Below are 26835 nucleotides of genomic sequence, written 5' to 3'. Positions count from 1 at the left end.
GGCGCGATCTCAGCTCACTGCAACCTCCACCTCCCGGGTTCAAGCAACTCTCCTGCTTCAGCCTCCCGAATAGCTGGGACTACAGACGTGAACTACCACACCCAGCTAATTTTTGTATTTTTAGTAGAGACGGGGTTTCACCAGGTTGGCCAGGCTGGTCTCGAACTCCTGACCTCAGGTGACCCACTCGTCTTGGCCTCCCAAACTGCTGGGATTCCAGGCGGGAGCCACCGCGCCCGGTCAATCGTAACTGGGTTTAATCAGCTCCTTAGCCCAGGCCTTCCCGTGTGACGACCTGGGAAAACCTGTTTCCACGCGCAGGTCCCGGAGGTCCCGAGAGCCAGGAGATGACGCGGATGAAGGAGGGGCGGGCGCCCGGCCCAGATCCCGCAGCTGAGAGGGCGGAAGCCTTGGCACTAGCGGCGCCCGGGCGCGGAGTGCGCAGGGCAAGGTCCTGCGCTCTGGGCCAGCGCTCGGCCATGCGATCCGCCGCGCGGAGGGGACGCGCCGCGCCCGCCGCCAGGTGCCTGGGACCCCGGGACGCGGCCCATACTAAGGCCTAGGGTGGGGGCCTGGGGAGGGGGTCGCGAGCACGGCGAGGGGCGCCCCGGGCGAGCCTGGGCCCCTGTAAAGGGCGTGGTTGTGTCCGGCGCCTTGTAGTCTCCAAAATGTAGCTGGAGGCGCGTTCTGTGCCCGGGAAAGACGCCAGACAGCAGAGCCCAGGGATGGGGGGCGACTGAGGGGACGAAGGGCGGGTGGAGGAGACCGAACTGAAGGGAAGGCGGAAGGGCAGGGAAAGAGAACAAAGGAGGAAGGGAAGGGAGGGCGGAGGAAGGCTGGCCGGGACCCGGAGGGAGCGGAAACTGGGCCGGTCACGCCCTGCTGGGTCCTCCGCCTTCCACGCCCAGCTACACCGCTGCCCGGATTCGGCCTTCAAAGGCTCCCTAAGACCCGCCCCGAACCGCGCCCCCCGCTCTGCCCCACTAAGACGCGCCCCGTCCCGCCCCAAGGCTCCATCCCCCGAAGCGTAGCCTTGCCCGCCCCACTTCCTAAGAGGCACCCCGTCCCGCCCCCAACCCCCCAGCTCGATGCCTTCCAGCACGGCCGTGTTCCCCGGGTCCACTAAGACGCTCCCTGTCCCTCCCCAACGCCCCGTCCTCCCGAGCACAGCTGTGACGCCCTCCCGATTTCTAAGAAGGCCCCTTCCCGCCCCCCGCCTCTTCGGCCCCACCATGACATGCTCCATCCCGCCCCCCGGCCCTTTGCCTTCCCAGCACGGCTGTGCCCTCCCCCTCATCCCACTAAGACGCGCCCCGTCCTTCCCCCAGACCCCATCCTCCCAAGCACGGCTGTGACTCCCCCAACACGCTCGGTAAGACACGCCCCTTTCCCCCCCGTGGGCTTCATTGGGCGCCCTCCCCCCAGCACCGCCGTGCCTACCCCGGTCACCCCCCAAGACTTCTCTGTCCCGTCCCCATCTCCACCACAAGCGCGGCCGTTACTTCCCTCTGGCCATCCCCCGGCGCCTTGGCCTTGTGCCGCCTCCATGTCCCCACCCTCTAGCACCGCCATGCCCCGCTGCACTTCCTCAGATGCGCCGGGTCCTGCATTCCCAGCTTCATTTGCGCCCCAGTGCCACCGGTAGAGGGTCGTGACTGCAAGTTGTCCAGGTTCTTGGCGTTTTGAACAAAGAATTGGACAAAACGCCCAGCAAAGAAAGAATGAAGCAACAAAAGAAGGAAAGCAGGGATTTATTGAAAACAAAAGGACACGTCACAGTGTGGGAGCCGACCAAGCAGCGGCTCAAGGGCCCGGGTACATAATCTTCTTGGGTCCAAATACCCCCTAGAAGTTTCCCATTGGCCACTTCATGCTCACCTCATGTAACTGAAGTGGTGGCCCGCGATCAGTCTGATTGGTTGCAGGCAGCAGCCAACCAAAGGGTGAAGTTACAAAGGTCACACTCCTGTGCAAACATCTGATTGGTTGCAAAACCCAACTAATCAGAGACTAGGGTGAAGTCACAAAGTTGCACACGAAGACTAGACCCGAAATCAGTCCGATTGGTTGCAGACAGCCAGTCTACTATCTACCCAATAGAAAAGGTCAAAGGGAAGCCTTCGGTCCTTTTGTTACTTAGGCATGGAAAGTTAGGATTTTCCCGCCAGGCGAGGTGGCTCATGCCTGTAATCCCAGCACTTTGGGAGGCCGAGACGGGTGGATCACCTGAGGTCAGGAGTTTGAGACCAGCATGGCCAATATGGTGAAATCCCGTCTCTACTAAAAATACAAAAATTAGGCCGGGCCTCTACTAAAATTACAAAAAAATTAGCCGGGCGTGGTGGCAGGCACCTGTGATCCCAGCTACTCAGGAGGCTGAGACAGGAGAATCGCTTGAACCCTGGAGGTGGAGGTTGCAGTGAGCCCGGATCATGCCATTGAACTGCAGCCTGGGCGACAAGAGTGAAACTCCATCTCAAAAAATAATAATAAAAATTAAAATTAAAAAAAAAAGGAAAGTTAGGATTTTCCTTTCAATTTACTTCTAGGAAGTCGGCATGGAAAGCCTTAGGTTCCCTGCCTCCAGACCCTATTCTCCTGCCTCAGCAGCACTGCCGTGCCTCTCGCCACCCTCCAAGACACGCCCCGTCCTGTCCCCTTCCGCGGCCATTGCCCTGCTGGCCACACCGGATCCCTCCCCATGGCCTTATTCCTCCCCTGCCCCCCAGTAGAGCCGTGTCCCCTCACACACCCTGAGACACACCCCTCGTTCGCGTCCTCCCCGGAGAGCACAGCCACGATCCCCCAACACTAAGACACCACCTATCCACTGCAGTTCAAGGACTGCTTGAATCAATCCTCCCACCTCAGAATCAGGCAGAGGTTGCTGTAAGCCACCATCATGCCACTACAGCCTGGGCAGCACAGCAAGACCCCATCTCAAAAAAAAGAAAAAAAAGAATAATAAAGCAGATTGGTTGTTTCAAAGTTACTTTTCTTACAGGGTTAAAGCACGGGAGACTTTGTTAGCTCAGATGAACTACACATCTTCTTCTTGCTTACTCAAATCTTCTGTTTTTTGGAAAACTGACCTGTTTCCCTGTTCAGCTTGACGATGTGGCAGTTAACACAAGTGACTCCATTCCAGTTTGTTCTGACCTGTATGGTCTAGTGTGGCAGGCCAGGTCTCACTAATGCAGGCCTCCGTAACAACTGTTTCAGCACTGACTGAGTGTGAAGTTACATACTAAAAGCTGAAACAACCAGCGCCTTTATGCACAGGCTGGGATGTAACAAAAGCACACCAAGAGTTCTGCCCAGGCCTCTCCTGGGCCTTTGAAGCATGACAAGATAACGAAGGAATTCTTAACAGGACCCATTTAGGATTAAACAAGTTTTATTGTGGGTCTGAAGAAACTCCCCAGACCTCCACAAACAAGCTTTGTTGGGGACTAAAGGAACTCCCCAGAACTCTGTGATTTAGCAGGAGACAAGATAAGGGTAATCACCCCAGCACCTGGACCCATCTAGATTAAGTCAATTCACCGAGGCTCCAGAGGAAGGTCTTCAGGACTCAGATCTTAATTACAGATTAGAAGAAGTTAATCACTTATGTCTTTAGATAAATGCACACTTACACTTAGACATATAGCTTTGAAGGTATATAAGCTCTGGAAAGCTTTGTAATTTTGAGTTGGTTGGGAGAGAATTTCCAGGCCTTCCTCCTGTAACTGGTTACAGAATTAAAAACTCTCTTCTTTCCCAATTCATCTGCATCTCGCTATTGGGTCACAAGAAATAGCAGTCTGACCCTCGGTTTGGCCCAGGGACACCAGTGCAGGAATTCAGGCCAAGACAATAACCTCCCATAAAGCTGAACGTCTTAATTTAGTGGTAAGACCTTCGCCTTCCCAGCGAGCTGCCTTGAAATGCCTACTTCCCTTGCCAAATTGTAGATAGTCATTTCTGTGTTTCGCTTTTCTCTCCAGGGACTCTTTGCCGGTGCTACTGTTTTTATGCTTGCTTCTGAAGACGTGTGAACCTAAAACTGCAAATGCCTTTAAACCAAATATCCTACTGATCATGGCGGATGATCTAGGCACTGGGGATCTCGGTTGCTACGGGAACAATACACTGAGGTACAGTTGGTTGTTGCTATTGGTGATGATGTTATGTGAGTTTGACGGAATGGTGCATTTAAAATCTGCCTGGAGAAATTAGGAAACTCCTTAGGGCCTCAGAACTCAACAAAAAACTACCAACAGGTAAAAAGGCCCTTTTAAACCATGCGGAACTGCGGTGAGGGGGTGAATGTATTACTACCACAAAATGGGTAGCTTAAAACAACGGAAATTTGTTCTCCCAGGTCTGGAGACCAGAAATCTTAAATCCAGGTGTGGGCAGGGCCGGGCTCCCTCTGGGGGCCCTATGGGAGGATCCTTCCGGACTTTCCCAGCTCCTGGGGGCTCCAGGTGTCCCTGAGCTTGTGGCCACATCACTCCAGTCTCTGCCTCCGTCTCCACGGGGCCTTCTCCTCTGCGTCTGTGTCCTAATCTCCTCATCCTATAAGGACACCGGCCATTGCAGCAAGGCCTGCCCGCTGTAAAGATCTCATCTTCTGTTGATGACGTTTGCAAACAACGTCTGTTGTGGGCCAAATTCTGGCCTCCTCCAAATTTGTAGGTTGAAGCCCTAACCGCCGGTACTTCAGGGTGTGACCGTTTTCAGAGATGGGGTCTTTGAAGAGGTAATTAAGTTAAACTGAGGTCCTTAGGGTGAGCCCTAATCTGATATGGATTACTAAAAGAGGAGATTAAGACACCAACAGAGCTCCCTGAGAGGCTGTAGGGGAGGACCCTTCCTGCCTCTCCCAGCTCCTGGGGGCTCCAGGCATCTCTGGCTTTGTGGCCACATCACTCCAGTTTGTGCCTCCGTCCCCATGCGGCCTTCTCCCCTGTGTCTGTGTCTCCTCCTCTGTCTCTCAGAAGGACACTGGCCATTGCATCTGGGGCCCTCTCTAAACCAGGATGATCTCATCTCGGGATACCTAATAACAACTCCAAAGACAGTTTTTCTAAGCAAGGTCTCACACACAGGTTTGGGGGGTCAGCACGTGGACAGATCGGTTCGCAGACCCCCATTCAGCCCACTGCAGTGGCATGTGCAAACACAGAGTAGTAGCCTCTATGCCAACCTTACCAGCAGAGCGCTTGAGTGGTGCTCACGTGCTTTCTGCAACAGGAGAAAAGGTGAGAAAGCTCCTTATTCCATTTGGTGGGCTTTTCTCCTAGAAGGACCGCCCCAGAATGCAGGCTGCATCTGCTTTTCAATAGCTGCCAACCTCAGGAGCGGTCCCCGCAGAGCAGGGCCTCCCTTCTTTGCAGTGAACATTGCAGCACCTGCAGCAGTCTGCCCTGTGTGGGCCGGGCACGGTGGCTCCCGCCTGTCATCCCAGCATTTTGGGAGGCCAAGGAAGGTGGATCACTTGAGCCCAGGAGTTTGAGACCAGCTTGGGCAACATGGCAAAACCCTGTCTCTATGAAACATACAAAAAATTAGCCAGGTGTGGTGGCGCATGCCTGTAGTCCCAGCTACTCAGGAAGCTGAGAGTGGAGGATGGCTTGAGCCCGGGAGGTGGAGGTTATGGTGAGCTGAGGTTGCGCCACTGCATTCTAGCCTGGGCCACAGAGCAAGACCCTGTCTCTAAGTCAATCAATCAATCAATCTGCCCCCTGTCCAGGGATCCCCTTTCGAACACCCTGAGCAGGCCTGGTTGTAATTCACAGAACATGCGGTTCATCTGTTTACAGTGTACAGTTCAGGGACTTTTATTCTATTCATGGAGCTGTGCATCTGTCACCACAAACCATGTTAGAGCATTTGCATACCCCCAAAGAAACTCTGCATCCCCTTAGCCATCACCTCCAGCGAGGAGCGAATCTGTGTCCCCTAAACGCCTACGTCGAAGTCCTGACCCCCAGGACCTCAGACTGTGACTCTATTTGGAGACTGAGTCTTTAGAGACGTGATTCAGGTAAAATGAGGTCACTAGGGTGGGCCCTGATCCAATAGGACTGGGGTCCTTATAAGAAGAGGAGATGAGGACACAGACACACACAGAGCAATGACCACCTGAGGACACAGGGAGAAGATGGTGTCTACGAGCCCAGGGTGGTGGCCTCAGGAGGAACCAGCCCTGCCCATGCTTGATCTCAGACTTCCAGCTCCCAGAAATGTGAGAGAATAAATGTCTACTGGGTTTGTTTTTCTGTTTTATTTTGTTTTGTTTTTTGAGACAGGGTCTCACTCTGTTGCCCAGGCTGGAATGCAGTGGCATGATCACAGCTCACTGCAACCTCCATCTCCTAGGCTCTCACCTCAGCCTCCTGAGTAGCTGAGACTACAGGCACATGCCACCACGCCCAGCTAATTTTTGTATTTTTTGTAGAGACAGGTTTTCACTATGTTGCCAAGGCTTGTCTCGAACTCCTGGCCTCAAGTGATCCACCCACCTTAGCCCCCCAAAGTGCTGGGATGACAGGCGTGAACCACCGTGCCCAACCAATATCTGGTGTTGAAGCGGCCAGGTGTGTAGGACTTTGTTATGGCAGCCCCAGCTAACACTCCTCCAACTCTCTCAGCACCCTAACCCTCAGCCTCTGGCAGCCACTAATATACTTTCCATCTCTATAGATTCCCCTGTTAGGGACATTTCATACAGATGGAATTATGTAACCTGTGGTCTTTTATGTCAGGAGGCTTTCACAGTACCGTGCCTCACGCCTTGCAGTGGCTGAGTCATATTCCATAGATTCCATTCTATGTGGATACCTCTTTTGGCTCCTTTTCTTTCTTTCTTTCTTTCTTTCTTTTCTTTTCTTTCTTTTTTTTTTTTTTTTTTTTTTTTTTTTTGAGACACGGTCTCACTCTGTTCTTTCACCCAGGCTGGAGTGCAGTGGTGCAATCTCGGCTTACTGCAACCTCCGCCTCCTGGGCTCAAGCGATTCTCCTGTCTCAGCCTCCCGAGTAGCTGGGATTACAGGTGTGCACCACCTTGCCTGACTAATTTTTGTATTTTTTTTAGTAGAGACGGGGTTTTACCATGTTGGCTAGGTTTGTCTTGAACTCCTGACCTCAAGTGATCTGCCCGCCTAGGCCTCCCAAAGAGTTGAGATTACGGGCGTGAGCCACCGTGCCCGGCCCTCACAGTTTTTTGATATCTGATGATGAAAGCTTTTAAGCCTCTTCTGTCTGTGTTCCCCATCTGGACAAGCAGATAAGAAAGCACAGGGACTGTCTCCTTTGGTGCTGATGGCAGATTCAGACCATAAACGCCCCCACCCTTGCATGGGAACCCTCATCTCGGCCCCACACCCTCACCACAATTGAAAACATAAATCTCCTTTCCTTGCTTCCTTATTTCACATGAGCTTGGAAGGCCTGCCCTGCTCTCCCCAGAAAGCCTCGTTATATGAGTCATAAATTGTCTCATATACTTTGTGTGTGTGTGTGTGTGTGAGAGAGAGAGAGAGAGAGAGAGATGTCATCCATCTCAACATCAACACCAAACTTAGGATGGGGTCAATCTACCGCTGCAGGAGACCATAATGCAACTAATTCTGAAATCCGGTGAAGTCCTTGCAGCTATTCCTGTGCCTTTCAGAGCAGGGATCTGCTTAAGCCAAATGCATGTCTCCCTTCCAACAATGACATTTGTGTGCTTTGCTCAGAACGCCGAATATTGACCAGCTTGCAGAGGAAGGTGTGAGGCTCACTCAGCACCTGGCGGCCGCCCCGCTCTGCACCCCAAGCCGAGCTGCATTCCTCACAGGGAGACATTCCTTCAGATCAGGTTGGTGTCACGGAGATGATGGAGAAATGGGTACATCTGTGTGCACTCATTCTGTCATCTGTAACAGTTGAGTACTGATGGTGAAGATACAGGGGCAATGGTACAAAGATCACCTGCAATTCATCGTCTTCCTTGTATTTATGTAAGGAATATTGTATTGTGTGCATACACATAAAAGTTGTGATCATTAGGATGTGAACAGAAAAACCAAGGTCTGTGGAATATTTTAAAGAGGTTTATTCCGAGCCAGTATGACTGATCACAAGACCAAGTGTCTCTTAGAGAGAGCAAAGTTTCCCCAAGTTGAGAATCATTGTGATATAGATAGATGATAGATGATAGATAGATAGATAGATAAATTGACAGCTAGATACATGCTAGATGGATGATAATGATAGATAATGGATGATTGATAGCTAGATATCTAGATGATGATGATACATAATGATAGATGATTGATCATGACGTGATAGATGATTGATAGCTAGATAGCTAGATAAGAGATGATTGATAGATAATGATAGATGATAGATAATGATGATAGAAAGATAAGTGATAGACAGATGATAGATAATGATAGCTGATTGATAGCTAGATGATTAATGATAATGACAGATAATAGATACATAGATAGATGGATAGATATAGATGATAGATGATGGATCCATATTGAGATAGACAGGTGACAGGTGATAGCTAGGTAAACAGATAGATAGACATATGATAGATCACATGGCGTCTGTCATCCTAAGGTGGGGTGTCTCTGTTTTGGCATGAGGGACATTTGGGGCTAGATGATTCTCTGTGGTGGGGCTGTTCTGTGCACTGTATGTAGGGTCTTGAGCAGCATCACTCGGCTCCACGCACCCGATACGAGTAGCACCACACACCACCCTTTCTGAGCTGTGACACCACAAACATCTCCAGACATTGGCCATGCTTATTATTTCGAGAATAGTGTGATAGGTCGGTAGGTAGGTAGGTATGTAGGTAGGTAGATAGATGACAGACGATAGATGGGTAGATAATTGATAGCTCCATACATGATAGATGGATGATAGATAATAGCAGCCTGGCTCGGGTGCACAAATCCAGATCTCAGACACCAAATCCCTCTGGTTGAGAAGTGCTCCTCTAGAGAAAGGAAAGTAAATTCTTCCTGTCTTCTCTGCCCCACAGGCATGGACGCCAGCAATGGATACCGGGCCCTTCAGTGGAACGCAGGCTCAGGTGGACTCCCTGAGAACGAAACCACTTTTGCAAGAATCTTGCAGCAGCATGGCTATGCAACCGGCCTCATAGGTGTGGATATGTGGGAGCCTCACATTATACGGTGGTTGGGAATATTCGTGATAAAAAAGATCCCAGGCCAGGCGTGGTGGCGCACGCCTGTAGTCCCAGCTACTTAGGAGGCTGAGGCAGGAGAATCGCTTGAACCCGGGAAGCGGAGGTTGCAGGGAGCCGAGATCACACCACTGCACTCCAGTCTAGGTGACAAAGCGAGACTCTGTCTCAAAGAATAAAAAAAAAAAAAAAGATCCCGTTTTCCTGCAAAGGAAAACAATCCTGTGTCCTCTGAATCAGAAGTTGGTGCCTGGTCCATCTCATGCCTATTGGATTGTCCCCAGTTTTTCATGAGTTTTTTTTTCTTCTTAAATTCAAAATCCTAGGAGATTGCCCTCTTTTCTTCTCTGGACCTATCAGTCTTCAGCTTGTCCCCATTTATCACGACCTTCTTCAGACATTATCCTTCTCTACATGGCCACTCACCATCTCAAAAGCCCCAGAGTTAACAAACACTGCCTTCCTTTAGACAATAAACCCCGGCAGGGGCAGAACACCCTCTTTATAACAGACAGCATGTCAGGGGTCTCCAAGAGCACCCTTAAGTTCAGGAAGTTGCTAGGAGGATTTGGCATGCAGTTGTGCTCATGGGTGATTTATGACAGTCAAAGGAGGTGAGGCAGAATCAGTGATGGGAATTACACGGAATGAAGCCCAGGGCAAACCAGACACAAGCTCCCAAGAATCCTCCCCCAGTGGGATCACACAGGATGCACCATATTCCTCCAGAAATGAGTTTCAACAACACGCAAGGAATGCTGTCTATTAGGGAAGCTCCCGGGAGAATCAGTGCCCAGGGGTTTCTGTTGGGGGCTGGTCCTGCAGGCACTCACTGCCTGGCACCCACCCGAATTCCAGACTCCCAGAACCAAAGGAGGTGTTTAGCATGAACCACGTTGCTTTTGCATATAGTTTAGGCACAGTCAGCTTATTATTTTAATGGTGTGACTTCTCCATTGGAAATCCAGATCTCAAACACCAGCCACGGGGAATCTTACAAGCCAGCCTTTGTAAGGGGCACTAGCTCAGGCCTGCCCCTTAAACTCCTTTCTGCACGGAGAGGAAAGGAGGGAGATGTTGGTTTATGCCGCCAAGCACCAGGCAGTCTGCTGGTTACCTCCTTCATTCCTTACCCAGCCTGTGTGTTTAGAGGTGCTGTCCCCGTCATACACATGAGAACGTGGGAGCGCAGTGGTGAGGCCACCCGCCCCGACCTGGTGGTGGGATCTCTGTGCAGGGTCCCCAGTTCCCCTCTGTGCTTTTCTCACACTCAAAGCCACTGTCCCATTCACAGGAGCCGCAACACCCTAACTTGTCCGAAGCTGTGGTTTTCTAAAGGACAACCATTGTTCCTCCTTTTCAAGTTTCCTGCCACTTTATTTTTATTTTGAATTTTTTTAAAGTTTTTTCTTCTTTTATTTATTATTTATTTTTATTTTTTTGAGATGGAGTGTTGCTCTGTCCCCTACACTGGAGTGCAGTGGCACGATTGCAACTCACTGCAGCCTCCACCTCCTGGGTTCAAGCGATTCTCCTGCTTCAGCCTCCTGAGTAGCTGGGACCACAGACATGTGCCACCATGCCTGGCTAATTTTTTTTGCATTTTTAGTAGAGCCAGGGTTTCAGCATGTTGGCCAGGCTGGTCTCGAACTCCTGACCTCAAGTGATCCACCTACCTTGGCCTCCCAGAGTGCTGGGATTACAGGGCCAGTGCTTTATACTGTAGAAGTCTGTGTGTCTCCTACTCTGAGGGTGGATTTATTCTTTCTTTCTCTCTCACTTTTTTTAATTTTTACTTTTATTTTCATTTTTGTTTTTTGAGACGGAGTCTGGCTCTGTCGCCCAGGCTGGAGTGCAGTGGCATGATCTCGGCTCACTGTAAGCTCCGCCTCCCAGGTTCACGCCATTCTCCTGCCTCAGCCTCCCGAGTAGCTGGGACTACAGGCGCCCGCCACCTGTATTGTATTTTTTTAGTAGGGACGGGGTTTCACCGTGTTAGCCAGGATGGTCTCGATTTCCTGACCTCGTGATCCGCCCGCCTCGGCCTCCCAAAGGGCTGGGATTACAGGCGTGAGCCACCGCGCCCGGCCGAAAGTCTTAAACCTTTAATCACTTGCCAAGGGTTCTGACATGGATGCATTCGTTAGTCTTCACGGATCAGAATGCGTTCATTTAAACACAGGTATCCAATCCATTCATTGCCTTTCCATTTCCAGTTTTGCTCTTTGCAGACTTTTCTTTTCCTGCCGACGCGGAATGATTCCGAGGTTCTTTGCAGCAGACAGGGCTGCTTCAAAGCGGGTCTCTGTTGAACATTTGCGTTTCTTTTAGGAAAATGGCACCAGGGTGTGAATTGTGCATCCCGCGGGGATCACTGCCACCACCCCCTGAACCACGGATTTGACTATTTCTACGGCATGCCCTTCACGCTCACAAACGACTGTGACCCAGGCAGGCCCCCCGAAGTGGACGCCGCCCTGAGGGCGCAGCTCTGGGGTTACACCCAGTTCCTGGCGCTGGGGATTCTCACCCTGGCTGCCGGCCAGACCTGCGGTTTCTTCTCTGTCTCCGCGAGAGCAGTCACCGGCATGGCCGGCGTGGGCTGCCTGTTTTTCATCTCTTGGTACTCCTCCTTCGGGTTTGTGCGACGCTGGAACTGTATCCTGATGAGAAACCATGACGTCACGGAGCAACCCATGGTTCTGGAGAAAACAGCGAGTCTTATGCTAAAGGAAGCTGTTTCCTATATTGAAAGGTAAGCAACCATCGCATCTTAAAGAGGAGATGGGGCCGGACGCGATGGCTCATGCCTGTCATCCTAGCACTTCGGGAGGCCAAGATGGGAGGATCTTTTAGCCCAGGTGCTTTAGACTAGCTTGGGCAACATAGGAAGACAGGTTCTACAATAAATAAAATCATTAGCCGGGCATAGTGGTGTGTGCCTGCAATGCCAGCTACTCAGGAGGCTAAGGTGGGAGGTTCGCTTCAGCCTCGGATGTCGAGGCTGCAGTAAGCAATGATCACACCACTGTACTTCAGCCTGGGTGACAGAGTGAGACTCTGTCGCTAAAAAAATAAAAATAAAGTTTAATTTAAAAAAAAGACACGGTAACTGCTCAGAGCATCTGAGAGTCCCCTTATAATCTTTGGGATCTCAGACACCAACCCTCGGAGGAGACGGCTTTGCAGAAGCCAACCTTTTCATGTGGCTGGGTTTCCCATATGAGAGTCTCGAAGTGGATGTCATGTGATGGCTCGAATAGCATTGACATACACGCCATTGGATTCTGTACATTTTTATTGACAGTTTTTTAAACTTTTTTTTTTGCATTCTTTGTAGAGATGGGGTCTCACTATGTTGCCCAGGCTGGTCTCAAACTCCTGGGCTCAAACAATCCTCCCATCTTGGCCTCCCAAAGGGCTAAGATTACAGAAGTGAGCCACTGTGCCTGGCCTTTTTCTAATGTCTCATTTTTTTTTTTTTTTTTTTTTGAGACAATGTCTCACTATATGGCCCAAGCTGGTCTTGAATTCCTGGGCTCAAGCCATCCTCCCACCTCTGCCTTCCAAAGTGCTGGGATTATAAGCGTGAGCCACCGTGCCTGGCCCTTACTTTTTAATTTGTACAAATGTATGGGGTATGTGTGAAATTTTGTTACATGTATACACTGAATAACGATCAAACAGCATACTTACAGTGTCCATCTCCTGAGTACAATACATTTTGTTAGCTTTGGTCACCCTACTCTGCTATCAGACGTTGAATGTACTCCTTTAAGCTTACTGTATGTTTGTACTCTTTAAACCACTTCTCTTTGTCCTTCACCCTTCCCAGCCTCTGGTCTCTATCATTCTATTCTCTATCTTCATGTGATCGATTTTTTTTTAGCTCTCCCATATGAGTGACAACATGCAGTATTGGTCATTCTGTGCCTGGCTTATTTTAGTTAACATAGTGACCTCCTGTTTCATCTGTATTGCTGCAAATGACAGGATTTCATTCTTTTTGATGGCTGAATAGTATTCCATCACGTACATATACCAGATATAACCTTTTTTTCTGAGACAGCGTTGGCTCTGTCACCCATGCTGGAGAGCAGTGGTGTGATCATGGCTCACTGCAACCTCTGTCTCCAAGGCTCAGGCAATTCTCGTGCCTCAGCCTCTTGAGTGGCCGAGATTACAGGCACCTGCCACCCCACCCTGTTAATTTTTTTATTTTTAGTAGAGATGGGGTTTCACCATTTCACCATGTTGGCCAGGCTGGTCTTGAAATCCTGACCTCAACTGAGCTGCCAGGCTCAGCCTCCCGAAGTGCTGGGATTACAGGCTTGAGCCACTGTGCCCAGCCTCCATTCTTTTTTATGGCTGAATAGTATTCCATTGTGGACATATACAATATATTCTTTTTTTTTTTTTTTTTTTTTGAGACAGGGTCTGGCTCTGTCACCCATGCTGGAGTGCAGTGGTATGATCATGGCTGACTGCAAGCTCCACCTCCCGGGCTCAAGCCGTCCTCCCACCTCGGCCTCCCAAGTAGCTGGGACCACAGACTCAAGCCACCACGCCCAGCTAATTTTTCTATTTTTGGTAGAGATGGCATTTCACCGTGTTGCCCAGGCTGGCCTTGAACTCCTGGCCTCAAGTGATCCTCCCGCCTCAGCCTCCCAAAGTGTTGGGATTACAAGCATGAGCCACCACGCCTGGCCCACCATTTATTCTTTCTGTGTTCACCCACTGATGAACTCAGAAGGTGATCCCCTGCCTTGGCTCTTGTGAATAGTGCTGGAGTGAACGTATGGGTGCAGGGGTCCCTTTGGTGTACTGTATATTCTGTGTATTCTCAAGGAAGTTTTCTTCTTTCAGACACAAGCATGGGCCATTTCTCCTCTTCCTTTCTTTGCTGCATGTGCACATTCCCCTTGTGACCACGAGTGCATTCCTGGGGAAAAGTCAGCATGGCTTATATGGTGATAATGTGGAGGAGATGGACTGGCTCATAGGTAAGTCAAGGTACCATGGAGCCTCACTCCACCCTCGGCCTCAGGTTTGAACATAGGGCGTAACAGACTGGCCATCTGAATATGAACCAACTTGCAATAAAGAATAAGGGCGGTGGCTCACGCCTGTAATCCCAGCACTTTGGGAGGCCAAGGCGGGCGGATCACCTGAGGTCAGGAGTTTGAGACCAGCCTGGGCAACATGGTGAAACCCTGTCTCTACTAAAAATACAAAAACTAACCCGGTGTGGTGGTGCACACCTGTAGTCCCAGCTACTCGGGAGGTTAAGGTACAAGAATCGCTTTAACACGGGAGGCAGAGGTTGCAGTGAGTTGAGATCGCACCACTGTGCTCCAGCCTGGGTGAAAGATCAAGACTCCGTCTCAAAAAAAAAGAAAAAGAATAAGAGTTACTCTTAGCACTTTGGGAGGCCCAGATGGACAGATCACTTGAGGTCAGGAATTCAAAACCAGCTTGCACAACATAGTGAGACCCCATCTCTACAAAAATAAATGCTTAGCCAGGCATAATGGTACACGCCTGTAGTCCCAGGTACTCGGGAGGCTGAGGCAGGAGGATCGCTTGAGCCTGGGAAGTCAAGGCTGCAGTGAACTGAGATTGCACTGCTGTACTCCAGGCTGGGCAACAGAGTGAGACCCTGTCTCTTTAATAATAATAATAGTACAAAGAATGGGGGCAGAACACACTCCCATATCATTTATTTGCTTCTTCAGTATTCCCAATTACTTGGTCTAATTCTGCACAAAATCAACCTTCTACACAGCCAGTGACTTCATGTCATCATCAGAAGTTACCGAAAGTGAAGCGATAAAGTTAATGTTCAGGACAATGCAGACACGCTGTCTTCCTTCTATGGCCTTCAAGAAACCCTGGAGAGGACCAGTGAGGCTGCAGATTCTTAAAAGAGCATAGACATTAAAATTCTTGCAGAATCTGAATGTGTCTCCTGAGACAAGCATCGTGATAGAGTTCACAGTCTTAAAAGTCTGCATTTTCAGGTGGGGCAAGGTGGCTCATGCCTTTAATCCCAGCATTTTGGGAGGCTAAGGCAGGGAGATGGCTTGAGACCAGGAGTTCAAGACCAGCCTGGGCAACATAGTGAGACGCCCCCCCCCCCCATCTCTACAAAAAATTTAAAAAATTAGCCATGGTGGTGTGCACCTGTGGTCCCAGCTACTCCAGAGGCTGAGGTGGGAAGATCATTTGAGCCCAGGAGGCTGAGGCTGCAATGAGCTATAATTATTGCACCACTGAACTCCAGCCTGGGCCACATAGCAAGACCCTGTCTCCAAAAAAAAAAAGAAATAAAAGACGAAGAATAGGGAGAAAAACTTCTCTCATATCATTTATTTGGTCCTTCAGTATTTCTGATTACTTAGTCTAATTTTGCACAAAATCAACTGTATTAGTCCATTCTTGCAAAGAAATACCTGAGACTGGGTAATTTATAAAGAAAAGAGGTTGGATTGGCTCACGGTTCTGCAGGCTGCACAGGAAGCATGGCAGCATCTGCTTCTGGGGAGACCTCGGGGAGCTTTTGCTCATGGTGGAAGGCGAAGGGGGAGCAGGCGTCTTGTGGCAGGAGAAGGACCAAGAGAGGAGAGGAAGAGCCGCACACTTTTAAACAACCAGATCTCGTGAGAAGCTACTCCCTCCGCAGCACCAAGCGGGGGATGGTGCTCAACCATTCATGAGAACTCTGTCCCCATCATTCAGTCACCTCCCCCCAGGCCCCACCGCCGATTCTGAGGATGACAATTCCACATGAGATTTGGGCGGGGACACACATCCAAACTATATTGTCAACCTTCTACACAGCCAATGACTTAACAGCCTCATTAGAAGTTACAGAAACTAAAGCAATAAAGTTCGGACAATGCAGAGAGGTCACCTTCCTTCTATGGCCTTGAAGAAACCCTGGAGAGGACCAACGAGGCTGCAGATTCTTAAGAGAGTGTAGATATTAAAATCCTTGCAGAATCTGAACATATCTCCCGAGACAAGCATAGTGATAGGGCGGGATTGGTTCACAGTGTAAACCAAAAATAAATTCGAAGGCCCCCCACAACCATCTGAATGGATTCCCTCCTTTGCCAGGGCACCCTAAAATTTAACCTGAGAGACTGGTTCATGCCATAACGGGAAGAGGGGGTTGGGCTTGCCTCATTCTACCCCCCGCAGCATGAACATCCACACAGACCTTAACTCTGATAAGAAACATTTACAATCTATTTTCTCTGAAGCCTGCCACCTAGAGGCTTCATCTGCATGATAAAAGCTTGGTCTCCACAACTCCTTATCATAACCCAGACATTCCTTTCTATTGATAACTCTTTCAATCAGTTACCAATGAGAATATGTTTAAATTCCCCACTTCCAGTTGTTCCACCTTTCCAGCTCAACCAATGTACATCTTACATGTAGCGATGGATGTCTCATGTCTCCCTAAAGTATACAAAACCAAGCTTTGCCCCAGCCACGGTGGGCACATGTCATCAGGGCCTCCTGAGGCTGTGTCATTCTTAACCTTGGCAAAATAAACTTTCTAAATGGATTGAGACCCGCCTCAGATACTTTTCAGTTTACAGCAGGCTTCAAAGTCTGCATTTTCAGAGCTACAGATGACCTTGTGGTTTATATCATTTTGACTTTCAGTGCTTTCAATGACCAGTGGCCTCCAGGGATAAAGCAACTGCTTGGTTTGCAGGGCGTCCTCTGCGCTGCTGAGCCATCAGCCTCCAATACGCCAATGCCCATAGATGCTAGTTACAGCCCTGCTTCCTCCTACATAGGGTTCTGTCATCACTGAGTCTCACCATTTCCCTCTCCCCAGTGTCTTTATTATGTGACACACACACACGGCACTATGTTTAAAAAAGCGTGCTCACTGGCAACCTCTTGGCGTTGTGTGTTCATTCTGTGTTTTGTATTGGTGGTATCTTGGGGTCGACCGAAAGAGTCAAACTCCGTAAAATATTTGGAGAGATTTATTCTGAGCCAAATATGAGTGACAAGTGGCCTGTGACACAGCCCTCAGGAGGTCCTGAGAACATGTACTCAAGGTGGTCGGCATGCAGCTCAGCTTTATACATTTAGGGAGACATACGGCATCAATCAGCACGTGTAAGACGTACCTTGGTTCAGTGCAGAAAGGCAAGACCACTGAAAGGGGGGCTTCCAGGTCAAAGGCGGATTCACAGATTTTCTGATTGGCAGGTGGTTGAGTTATTATCTGAGAATCAATAGAAGGGAATGTCTGGGTTATGATAAGGGGTTGTGGAGGCCAAGGTTTCATAATGCCAAAGAAGCCTCCAGGTAGCAGGCTTCAGAGAGAATACATGGTAAATGTTTCTTATCAGACTTAAAGAGTCTGTTCTATCAGTCTTTTTTTTCTTTTTTAAACAGGGTCTCACTCTGTTGCCCAGGCTGGAGTGCATGGTGTGATCTTGACTCATTGCAGCCTTGACCTCCCAGGCTCAGGCAATCCTCCCACTTCGGCCTCCCGAGTAGCTAGGACTACATACAAGCATGTGCCACCATACCTGGCTAATTTTTGTATTTTTTGTAGAGACAGGGTTTCACCATGTTGCCCAGGCTGGTCTTGAACTCCTGAGCTCAATGGATCTTCCTGCCTCGGCCTCCCAAAGTGCTGGGATGACAGGCATGAGCCACTGTGCCTGGCCTTCTCTCAGTCATAGGTCTCTGTTTCAATGTGAATGCTGGTCAGTTGTGCCTGAATTCCAAAGGGAGGAGGGTATCATGACGCATGTCCACCACTCCCCCCGCCCCCACTACTTTCCAACATGGCCTGACCTTGTTTTTGTTTTTTGTTTCTTTTGGTTTTTTTTTTCTTTTTTTTTTTTTTTTGAGATGGAGTCTCACCCTGTCGCCCAGGCTGGAGTGCAGTGGTGCGATCTCGGCTCACTGCAAGCTCCGCCTCCTGGGTTCACACCATTCTCCTGCCTCAGCCTCCCAAGTAGCTGGGACTACAGTCTCCCGCCACCATGCCTGGCTAATTTTTTGTGTTTTTAGTAGAGACGGGGCTTCACGGTGTTAGCCAGGATGGTCTCAATCTCCTGACCTCGTAATCCACCCGCCTCAGCCTCCGAAAGTGCTGGGATTACAGGCGTGAGCCACCACACCTGGCCCTCTTTTGGGTTTTTTTTGAAACAGTCTCACTCTGTCACCCTCGCTGGAGTGCAGTAGTGTAATCTCACCTCACTGCAACCTCTGCCTCCTGGGTTCAAGCGATTCTCCTGCCTCAGCCTCCCAAGTAGCTGGGATTACAGGCGTGCACCCCCCACACCTGCCTAATTTTTGTGTTTTTGGTAGAGATGAGGTTTCACCATAATGGCCAGGCTGGTCTTGAACTCCTGGCCTCAGGTGATCCACCCACCTCAGGCTCCCAAAGTGCTGAGATTACAGGTGTGAGCCGCCAGGCCCGGCCTGACCTAGTTTTTCAGGTTAACTTTGGAATGGCCTTGGCTGAAGGGAGAGTCCATCAGTCGGTTGGGGGGCTTCGAATTTTATTGTTGGTTTGCATTGTAAACAGTCCTGTGGTATCACAGTGATTAGCTATGTCTTACACTTTGGGATCACATTGTAACCACGGCCTCCGAGTAAGTGTGGTCTCTTCTTATGACTTCCTGGCAAGAGGTGTCTCCTGCAGAAAGGAAGAAGCGCATTGAACTAGTGGATGCTGCTTTGTTTTCTTGGTCCTGAAACTTTCCATTTTCTGTAAAGGTAAGGTTCTTAATGCCATCGAAGACAATGGTTTAAAGAACTCAACATTCACGTATTTCACCTCTGACCATGGAGGACATTTAGAGGCAAGAGATGGACACAGCCAGTTAGGGGGATGGAACGGAATTTACAAAGGTGAGTTGTGGACATCGGGGACACATATGCATTCGACCAAATATCTGCCACCACTGAGGGTCCCAGAACAAGTTGAACTGAAAATGAGTTTGCTCATTTCAAAAAGAATGCATTGAGCACCTACTGTAGTACAAGTTCTACCTAGATGAGCAGGACAGGCAGATAAAAAGTCACATCCCCTTCCTTTAAAGGGTTTACATTTTAGTAGAATACAGAGAGGTATAAATAAATAATTCAGATAAAATTAAAATTTATTTTATTATAGTCTTAATTTTTAAATATTTAATAAATTTATTACTATTTTAATATTTTAAATGCATCAATTAATATTGATGCATAATAATACATATTTTAAAAATTATTGATAGTTAACAAACATTTTTAAATTATTAAATTTAATGAATATTTTAATACATTATTTTATTCTAAATAAAGGTAGCATAGATCGACTAGAACAGTTGAATCAGCCACAGCGACCCACCGATATTCAAGAGGCCAGGGAGTAGCATGATTCTGGAAATATTGCTGTGGCTGTTTTTGGGAAGCTGAGGCTGCCCCAGTGTGCATGTGTGCATCCGGGTGGCTGTGCGTATTCACATACCTATGCACAAATACATCCAGATGTGTGTACAGACTGGGCAGTTTCCGGCAAAATCCTAACGATGTCTTCTACTTACAGGTGGGAAGGGCATGGGAGGATGGGAAGGTGGGATCCGCGTGCCCGGGATCTTCCACTGGCCGGGGGTGCTCCCGGCCGGCCGAGTGATTGGAGAGCCCACGAGCCTGATGGACGTGTTCCCTACTGTGGTCCAGCTGGTGGGTGGCGAGGTGCCCCAGGACAGGTACGTGGAGATAAGGCTGCCTGTTCCCTGATTTTTTTTAATTGTTTTTAGTTTTTTTTTTTTATTTCAATAGGATTTTGGGGAACAGGTGGTATTTGGTTACATAAATAAGCTTTTTTTTTTTTTTTTTTTTGAGACAGAGTCTCACACTCTTGCCCAGGCTGGAGTGCAATGGCATGATCTCGGCTCACTGCAGCCTCCGCCTCCTGGGTTCAAGCAATTCTCCTGTCTCAGCCTCCCGAGTAGCTGGGATTACAGGCATGCGCCACCATCTCCTTTACCCATGTGGCCATGTGTCTTGGGGTCTGTTATGATTAAAAAGTAAGGACAGGTCGGATGCAATGGCTCATGCCGATAATCCTAGCACTTTGGGAGGCTAGATGGGCGGATCCCCTTAGGTCAGGAATTCGAGACCAGCCTGGCCAACGTGGTGAAACCCCATCTCTACAAAAAATACAAAAATTGGCCGAGTGTGGTGGCTTGTGCCTGTAGTCCCAGCTACTCAGGGGGCTGAGGCATGAGAATCACTTGACCAGGAGGCAGAGGTTGCAATGAGCTGAGATTGTGCCACTGCACTGCAGCCTGGGTGACAGAGCAAGACTCTGCCTCATAAAAAAAAAAAAGTAAGAAAAGCCAACCTAGGAATGTGGGCTGTCCAGCTGGAATTTGAAGGCTTTGTGTTGACCTCCAAGGTGACAGTGCTGTGTGTTGGGGTGTGTGTGTGTGTGTGTGTGTGCACTCTGCTTATGCAGTGCTGCATAACAAATGACCCCAACACTTAGAGACACTGTGTCTTGAAATAACCACATGTATCCTGCTCAGCAACCTGTAATCTGAACAGCGACTGGAGAGACAGCTCATCTCTGCTCCATTTGCTGGGGAGCCTTGCATTCTGGGAGATGTGTTCCCAGGTGCAAAAGGCTGCCTGGGAACCCGTGGTCTGACTCTGCTCTGTGTTCTCTTCATGAAATCAGGGTGATTGATGGCCACAGCCTGGTACCCTTGCTGCAGGGAGCTGAGGCACGCTCGGCACATGAGTTCCTGTTTCATTACTGTGGGCAGCATCTTCACGCAGCACGCTGGCACCAGAAGGACAGTGAGTACCTGCTGCCCACAGCCAGGGTTGTCCAGAGAAACAGCCAATAGGATGTGTGGATATGTGGATGGATGGATGGATGGATGGATGAATGGATGGATGGATGGATGGGTGGATGGACAGATAGCTATAGAAATAGAGATAGATAAACCGATGAGTAGATTATAGATAGATGATGGGGGGGGGAGAGAGAGAGAGAGAGAGATGATAGAGACATAATGGATAGATGATGGATAGATAGATAGATGAGATGGATGATGGATAGATAAGATAGATAATGGATAGATAAGATAGATGATGGATGGATAGATGATAGATAATGGATAGATGATGGATAGATATTTAAGATACATGATGGATGGATAAATATATAGATATGTAGGATAGATGATAGATAAGATACATGATTGATGGATAGATAAGATAGATGATAGATATATAAGATAGATGATGGATAGATAAGATAGATGATAGATAGATAGATAGATAAAAAGTAGAATCAGTTCATGGATGGATGAATAGATGGATGGACAGATAGATGGATGAAAGGTAGATAAACAGAGATAGATGATAGGTAGGTAGATAGATGATCGATAGATAAATAGATAATGGTAGATAGATGAGATCGATGGGTAAGATAAATGGATGGATTGATAGATAAATAGATAAATAGGTAGCGATAGATAGATAAGTACCCAATCATGCTGTTTAAAATATCATGGTTGTTTCTGTGTAGAAAGGTAGTAGATCGACGCTGAACAGTTTCAACACAGGGGAAAGGGGAAGAATTAAGGAACCTCTATGATTCTGATTTCTGAAAGCAGCCACAGTGAGCGCTCTGCAATGAGTCCCTTTGCCTGGGGCATGCAATGCAGAGACACAAACGGACACACATGGGCGCACGCGCGCACACACACATGCTCTGACTTTGCAAGCTGAAGGCTGTGATTGTGTGGACTGCCTCGTGTCCCTCCTCCTTTTCACTGAATAGGGAGGTTCATGCTGATACCACAGGGCCGACACCTGCGTTCTGCGTTCACACCTGCGTGGATTTCTGCCACCCTGACTCCCTTCTTGTCTGCATCCAGGTGGAAGCGTCTGGAAGGTTCATTACACGACCCCGCAGTTCCACCCCGAGGGAGCGGGGGCCTGCTACGGCCGAGGCGTCTGCCCATGCTCCGGGGAGGGCGTGACCCATCACAGACCCCCTTTGCTCTTTGACCTCTCCAGGGACCCCTCCGAGGCACGGCCCCTGACCCCCGACTCCGAGCCCCTGTACCACGCCGTGATAGCAAGGGTAGGTGCCGCGGTGTCGGAGCATCGGCAGACCCTGAGTCCTGTGCCCCAGCAGTTTTCCATGAGCAACATCCTGTGGAAGCCGTGGCTGCAGCCGTGCTGCGGACATTTCCCGTTCTGTTCATGCCACGAGGATGGGGATGGCACCCCCTGAATGCCAGGACTGTGAGAGAGGATCCAGGAGAGCCTGACTGCGTTGCAAACAAAATTCTCCAAGCTTGGTTCTATCTTCAGCTTCCCTTTTTGCAAGGAACATGCCCTGGACTGAGAGTGGGTCCCCACTTTCTTTCTTTCTTTCTTTCTTTTTTGAGACAGAGTGTCGCTCTGTCCCTCAGGCTGGAATGCAATGGCACGATCTCTGCTCACTGCAACCTCCGCCTCCCGGGTTCAAGCGATTTTCCTGCCTCAGCCTCCTGAGTACCCAGGATTACAGGCACCAGGCACCTGCCACCATGCCTAGCTAATTTTTGTAGTTTTAGTAGAGACAGGGTTTCACCATGTTGCCCAGGCTGGTCTCGCACTCCTGACCTCAAGTCATCCACCTGCCTCAGCCTCCCAAAGTGCTGGGATTACAGGCACGAGCCACTGCGCCCATGTAGGGTTTCCCTTTCCTGATTTGTGAAATAAGACTGTCCCAGTAGGCACCCACTGATGCCTCCTCTTCCTCTTCTAAATCTCAGGGTTCGTCATTGTGCCAATGCCCGATGTTTTCACCCCTCCGTCTTAAAGCATTGTTGCAATTTCATCACCTAGATGACATAACAGCCTTACAAAAGGACAGGGAGGAGTGTCTGTTCCTACTCTCACATAGCGGAGGAAAGTTAGAGCCTCTCAGTCTCTGTTTATGAGGACTCATTAATCTCAAATAATTGATGCATTTTTCATACATTAGGGTCTCTGTCCATGTGTCTTCCTGATATTGTTATAGAAATGGCTTCAGGCTGCTGGTAACAGATGCTGCGGAAAAAGAATGCCTTAAACAAAGCCAGGCACGGTGACTCACACCTGTAATCCCAGCACTTTGGGAGGCTAAGGTGGGAGGATCACTTGAGCCTAGGAGTTAGACACCTACCCAGCCTGAGCAACACAGTGAGACCTCATCTCTACAAAAAACAAATAATTAGCTAGATGTCGTGGCGCACAGCTGTAGTCTCAGCTACTTAGGAGGCTGAGGCGGGAGGATTATTTGAGCCTGGGAGGTCAAAACTGCAATGAGCTAAGATTGCACTACTGCACTCCGGGCTGGGAGACAGAGTAAGACCCTGCCTTAAAAAAAAAAAAAAAAAAATGCCTTAAAGAAAATAATAAGAGAAGGGTGTGTTCTCTTCCAAGTAATGAGCCGATCAAGGGGAAGCAACCCAAGGCTAGCAGGCTCTTTTCAATTCCCAGCTCTGCCACTCTTAGCATGGCAGAGAGTTGGCCTCATTATGCCAGTATGGCTGCCACAGTGTCAGACATCACATTCCAGGCAGTGGAAAGGAGAAAGAACCAAAGGGCATCCCTTTCTCTTGAAGCAGTCCCTGTGAGGGGGGATTATCTGGAAGCCCCAACCCAATTTCTGCTTCCAACCATTATCCATAGAAACAACTGGAAGTTGAGAAGTGCAGTCTTTTAGGTGGGCACCTGGCTGCCCTGTATGAAACCAGAATTAGGTTGGTCAGCAGGAAAACAAGAAAACACTTACTGTGTTGACTGAGGTTTTTGACGCATCGCTTTATTGTCAAATTAAACAACTCTATCTCATTCTGCACTGAAACACGTACTACCATTGCCTATAATTGGAAAATGATCCTCAGAGGCACAGAAGATGCCCTGATGGAAAGTTTGCCCCTTGGGCAAAGAGACAGCCATGGGAACCTTCAGACATAGAGAGAGAAGGTGGCTTTTCTCCCTACATTCCTCAAATAGCTAAGATTTGGCCAGTGTGTTTTCTAAGTCAATTCTAGTGTGTTTCATCCTCACCTCTTCCCTCTGTGGCTTTGATGATGGAAGTGTAGTCCTAACCTACTGCACAGCTGGGACCCCCTGCCCCTAGATCCCAATACTGGGGATGGGAGGACCTTGCACTATTCCCCTCAGTCCATCTATCGAGGTCTTTGCAGGAAGCATACTGGGAATTGAAACGAGAGCCTAAATGACATCTAAGAAAGGCAGTGTTCAATACCAGGTATTAGGTGAGGATGGGATTCTAAGGACATCAGTGGGAGGCAGGGAGCCACCTTCAGACCTCAGCATGGAAGCTTCCAAGATCCAGAGGAAGAGGCAACAGCACTGAGAGTCATAGGTAGAAGAATCATCACAGCCCTGCTAACCAGGCAGCTGATGCCCCTCTCCCCTGGCTCCCTGTGTCCAAATCCTACAGGGGCATCTGTTGGCTGAACTCAACCTGAAGCCAAAGAGAAGATGAGTGGAGAGAGGCAACATTTATAGAGCTCAGGTTTCTAGGGCTGGAGAGGGATCTGGAGGGACACACAGGAGACACCTGGCATAACCAAAAAATGATTAAAAAAAAAAAAAAAAAGAAACATCTATGGAGCATGGGACACGGGGAGTGGAGGCAGCTAAAAGCCATCTCATCTTTCACCGTATTCAACAAGCCCATTATAACAAGTCTTTCACGCTCAACCATTCAAACAATCCCAACAATCCCAGCCTAAGAATTTCCTGGCATTTGATGAAAATGGCTGTGGGTTTTGCTATCTTTAAGCTCCCTGGGAAGCAGGATATAAGCCCAGGGCTGGCAGGCTCTTTCTAGCTACCTGCTCTTGCACATAGAGTTTGCCTCATGGTTGCAAGAAGGCTGCCATAGCTCCAGATGGCACATAGACATTCCAGGCAGCAGGAAAAAGGAAGGAGCACTTAACCGAAGGAGGTCAGGGAGTTGGTTAGTCTCCACCTGAAGAAGAGAGCCATGAACCAGCTTCAGTTGACTAACGGGCTCCTGTGAGTGCATCTTTGGACTTTTCTGGAGGTTGAAATCTAGATGTGGTATGTGTCTTAAAGCAGCCACCAACTCCTCCCATTACCTTCCAAGTGAGCCCAACTACACGATGGAGCCTCTTCCCTGCCCTTGGATCTGGGCTGAGCCTCTGACTTGCGTTGACCAACAGAATGCAGTGAAAGTGATGCCGATACTACCCTCCCTGCCCTAGACTTGGGATACCTGGCAGCTATATTCTTCCATTCCTCAGGACTTGCAAAAACGGGTCTCAGCATGCCTTCCCAGAGCCATGAGGTGTTTCTTTGCCCATTCATTGATCTGAGAAGTGAGTGTAAGGAGTTTAAATCAACCTCTGTTCTGTGCTAGTTAAGGTAATAAAGTTGCTGCAGTCCAGGGGGTAGGTACCTGTGGACGGCTCTGCGAATAGGACAGTTGCATTTCTTGGGAATCAAGTGCATCCCTAGGCTGGCAGTGCAGCAGAAATACTGAATAAAATGTGACAAATCTCCCTGGATGGTGTCATTTGTTTGTTTTTATTTCCCATCCTCAATCCTACTTTTCCACCTCCACCCCTTCACCCCCCAGCTTTGAAGGAACTCACCTGGCATTGCTATTCACTATTCATGGAGAGAGGACTAAACAATCCAAACTCCCCCGTTCTGAAAAACTTAAGTCACAGTCACAAGTGTACTCCTGTGCTTTTAGGGTTATACAGGGGAGAGAGGGCGACTGGGAATAAGAACGCCTTAAACAAGAGAAAGATGTGTTCTCTCCCAGGTAATGGGGGTCACAGAGGAAGCAATCCAGGGCTGACAGGTTCTTTCCAGCTTCCTGCTCTTGCACATAGGGTTTGCCTCATGGTCACAAGATGGCTGCCATAGCTCCAGGCAGCATGTAGACATTCCAGGCAGCAAAAAGGAGGAAGGTGCAGTTAACTGAAGGATGTCAGGGAGCTGGTTAGTCTCCACCTAAAGGGGGCAGCCTTGAGCCAGCTTCAGTTGACTAACTTGGGCTGCTGTTGGTGTATCTTTGGACTTTTCTGTAGGTTGAAGTCTAGATGTGGTACATGTCTTACAGCTGCCAAGTCCTCCCATTACCTTCCAAATGAGCCCAGCTACAAGTTGGAGCCTTTTTCCTCCCCTTGGATCTAGGATGAGCCTCTGATTTGCATAGACCAACAGAATGCCGCAGAAGTGATGCTGATACTATCCTTCCTGCCCTAGACTTAGGAGACCTGGCAGCTTCTGACTTCTCTCTTATGGACTCAAGAGCCCCCATGTAAATAAAAAGTTCATCTGCCCTTCTGGAGAGAACAGATGGAGAGAAAGAGAATGAGAGAGAGAGAGATTGAGAGAAAAAGAAGAAGGAGAAGGGAAAGAGGAGGAGAAGAAAGAGAGAGAGAGAGGACCTGAGGTTAAAAGACCATTAAAGGAGTGTATGAGTTTGCTATTGGTGCTGTAACAAAATGTCACAAACTTAATTGCTTAAAATAACACAATTTTTCTTATAGTTCTGGTAATCAGAAGTCGAAAAATCAAGGTGTCAGCAGGCTGGTTCCTTCTGG

The 26835-nt window shown here is 48.9% G+C and overlaps 1 protein-coding gene and 1 long non-coding RNA gene across 6 annotated transcripts, besides 4 other annotated features; one reads left to right on the top strand and one right to left on the bottom strand.

Moving 5' to 3' along the window:
• Positions 399-748: a silencer, noted in NCBI's record as "silent region_20639". NCBI's record gives its function as "represses an Ori minimal core promoter by ATAC-STARR-seq in GM12878 lymphoblastoid cells {active_cell/tissue: GM12878}" and the evidence as "EXISTENCE:reporter gene assay evidence [ECO:0000049][PMID:35858748]".
• ARSD (arylsulfatase D) lies at positions 416-25783 on the top strand. Of its 5 annotated transcripts, none has more exons than NM_001669.4 (10): positions 416-523; positions 3990-4139; positions 7731-7852; positions 9032-9154; positions 11528-11951; positions 14063-14199; positions 18962-19096; positions 19776-19938; positions 20913-21034; positions 22123-25783. In NM_001669.4, the coding sequence occupies exons 1-10, from the start codon at positions 480-482 to the stop codon at positions 22482-22484; spliced, it is 1782 nt and encodes a 593-aa protein (NP_001660.2). In that variant the 5' UTR covers positions 416-479; the 3' UTR covers positions 22485-25783. The 5 variants fall into 5 exon arrangements, with proteins under 5 accessions (NP_001660.2, XP_005274572.1, XP_005274571.1 ...); XM_005274515.3 differs by having other exon boundaries at positions 21771-25783; XM_047442108.1 differs by lacking the exon at positions 416-523 and adding an exon at positions 3877-3894.
• Positions 769-928: a silencer, noted in NCBI's record as "silent region_20638". NCBI's record gives its function as "represses an Ori minimal core promoter by ATAC-STARR-seq in GM12878 lymphoblastoid cells {active_cell/tissue: GM12878}" and the evidence as "EXISTENCE:reporter gene assay evidence [ECO:0000049][PMID:35858748]".
• Positions 4900-5409: an enhancer, noted in NCBI's record as "H3K4me1 hESC enhancer chrX:2842387-2842896 (GRCh37/hg19 assembly coordinates)". NCBI's record gives its function as "activates a minimal SCP1, AML or CMV promoter by ChIP-STARR-seq in primed H9 embryonic stem cells {active_cell/tissue: H9 hESC(primed)}" and the evidence as "EXISTENCE:reporter gene assay evidence [ECO:0000049][PMID:30033119]".
• Positions 5410-5920: an enhancer, noted in NCBI's record as "H3K4me1 hESC enhancer chrX:2841876-2842386 (GRCh37/hg19 assembly coordinates)". NCBI's record gives its function as "activates a minimal SCP1, AML or CMV promoter by ChIP-STARR-seq in primed H9 embryonic stem cells {active_cell/tissue: H9 hESC(primed)}" and the evidence as "EXISTENCE:reporter gene assay evidence [ECO:0000049][PMID:30033119]".
• Positions 23633-24851, bottom strand: ARSD-AS1 (ARSD antisense RNA 1). The gene is made up of 2 exons (NR_144459.1): positions 24550-24851; positions 23633-24187 (listed from the first exon to the last, which is right to left on the bottom strand). It is a non-coding gene; the product is annotated as an ARSD antisense RNA 1 (long non-coding RNA).

This window comes from Homo sapiens, chromosome X (assembly GCF_000001405.40).
Source record: "Homo sapiens chromosome X, GRCh38.p14 Primary Assembly".
Lineage (NCBI taxonomy): Eukaryota > Metazoa > Chordata > Mammalia > Primates > Hominidae > Homo > Homo sapiens.
This window is presented reverse-complemented; position numbering and strand designations above follow the sequence as displayed.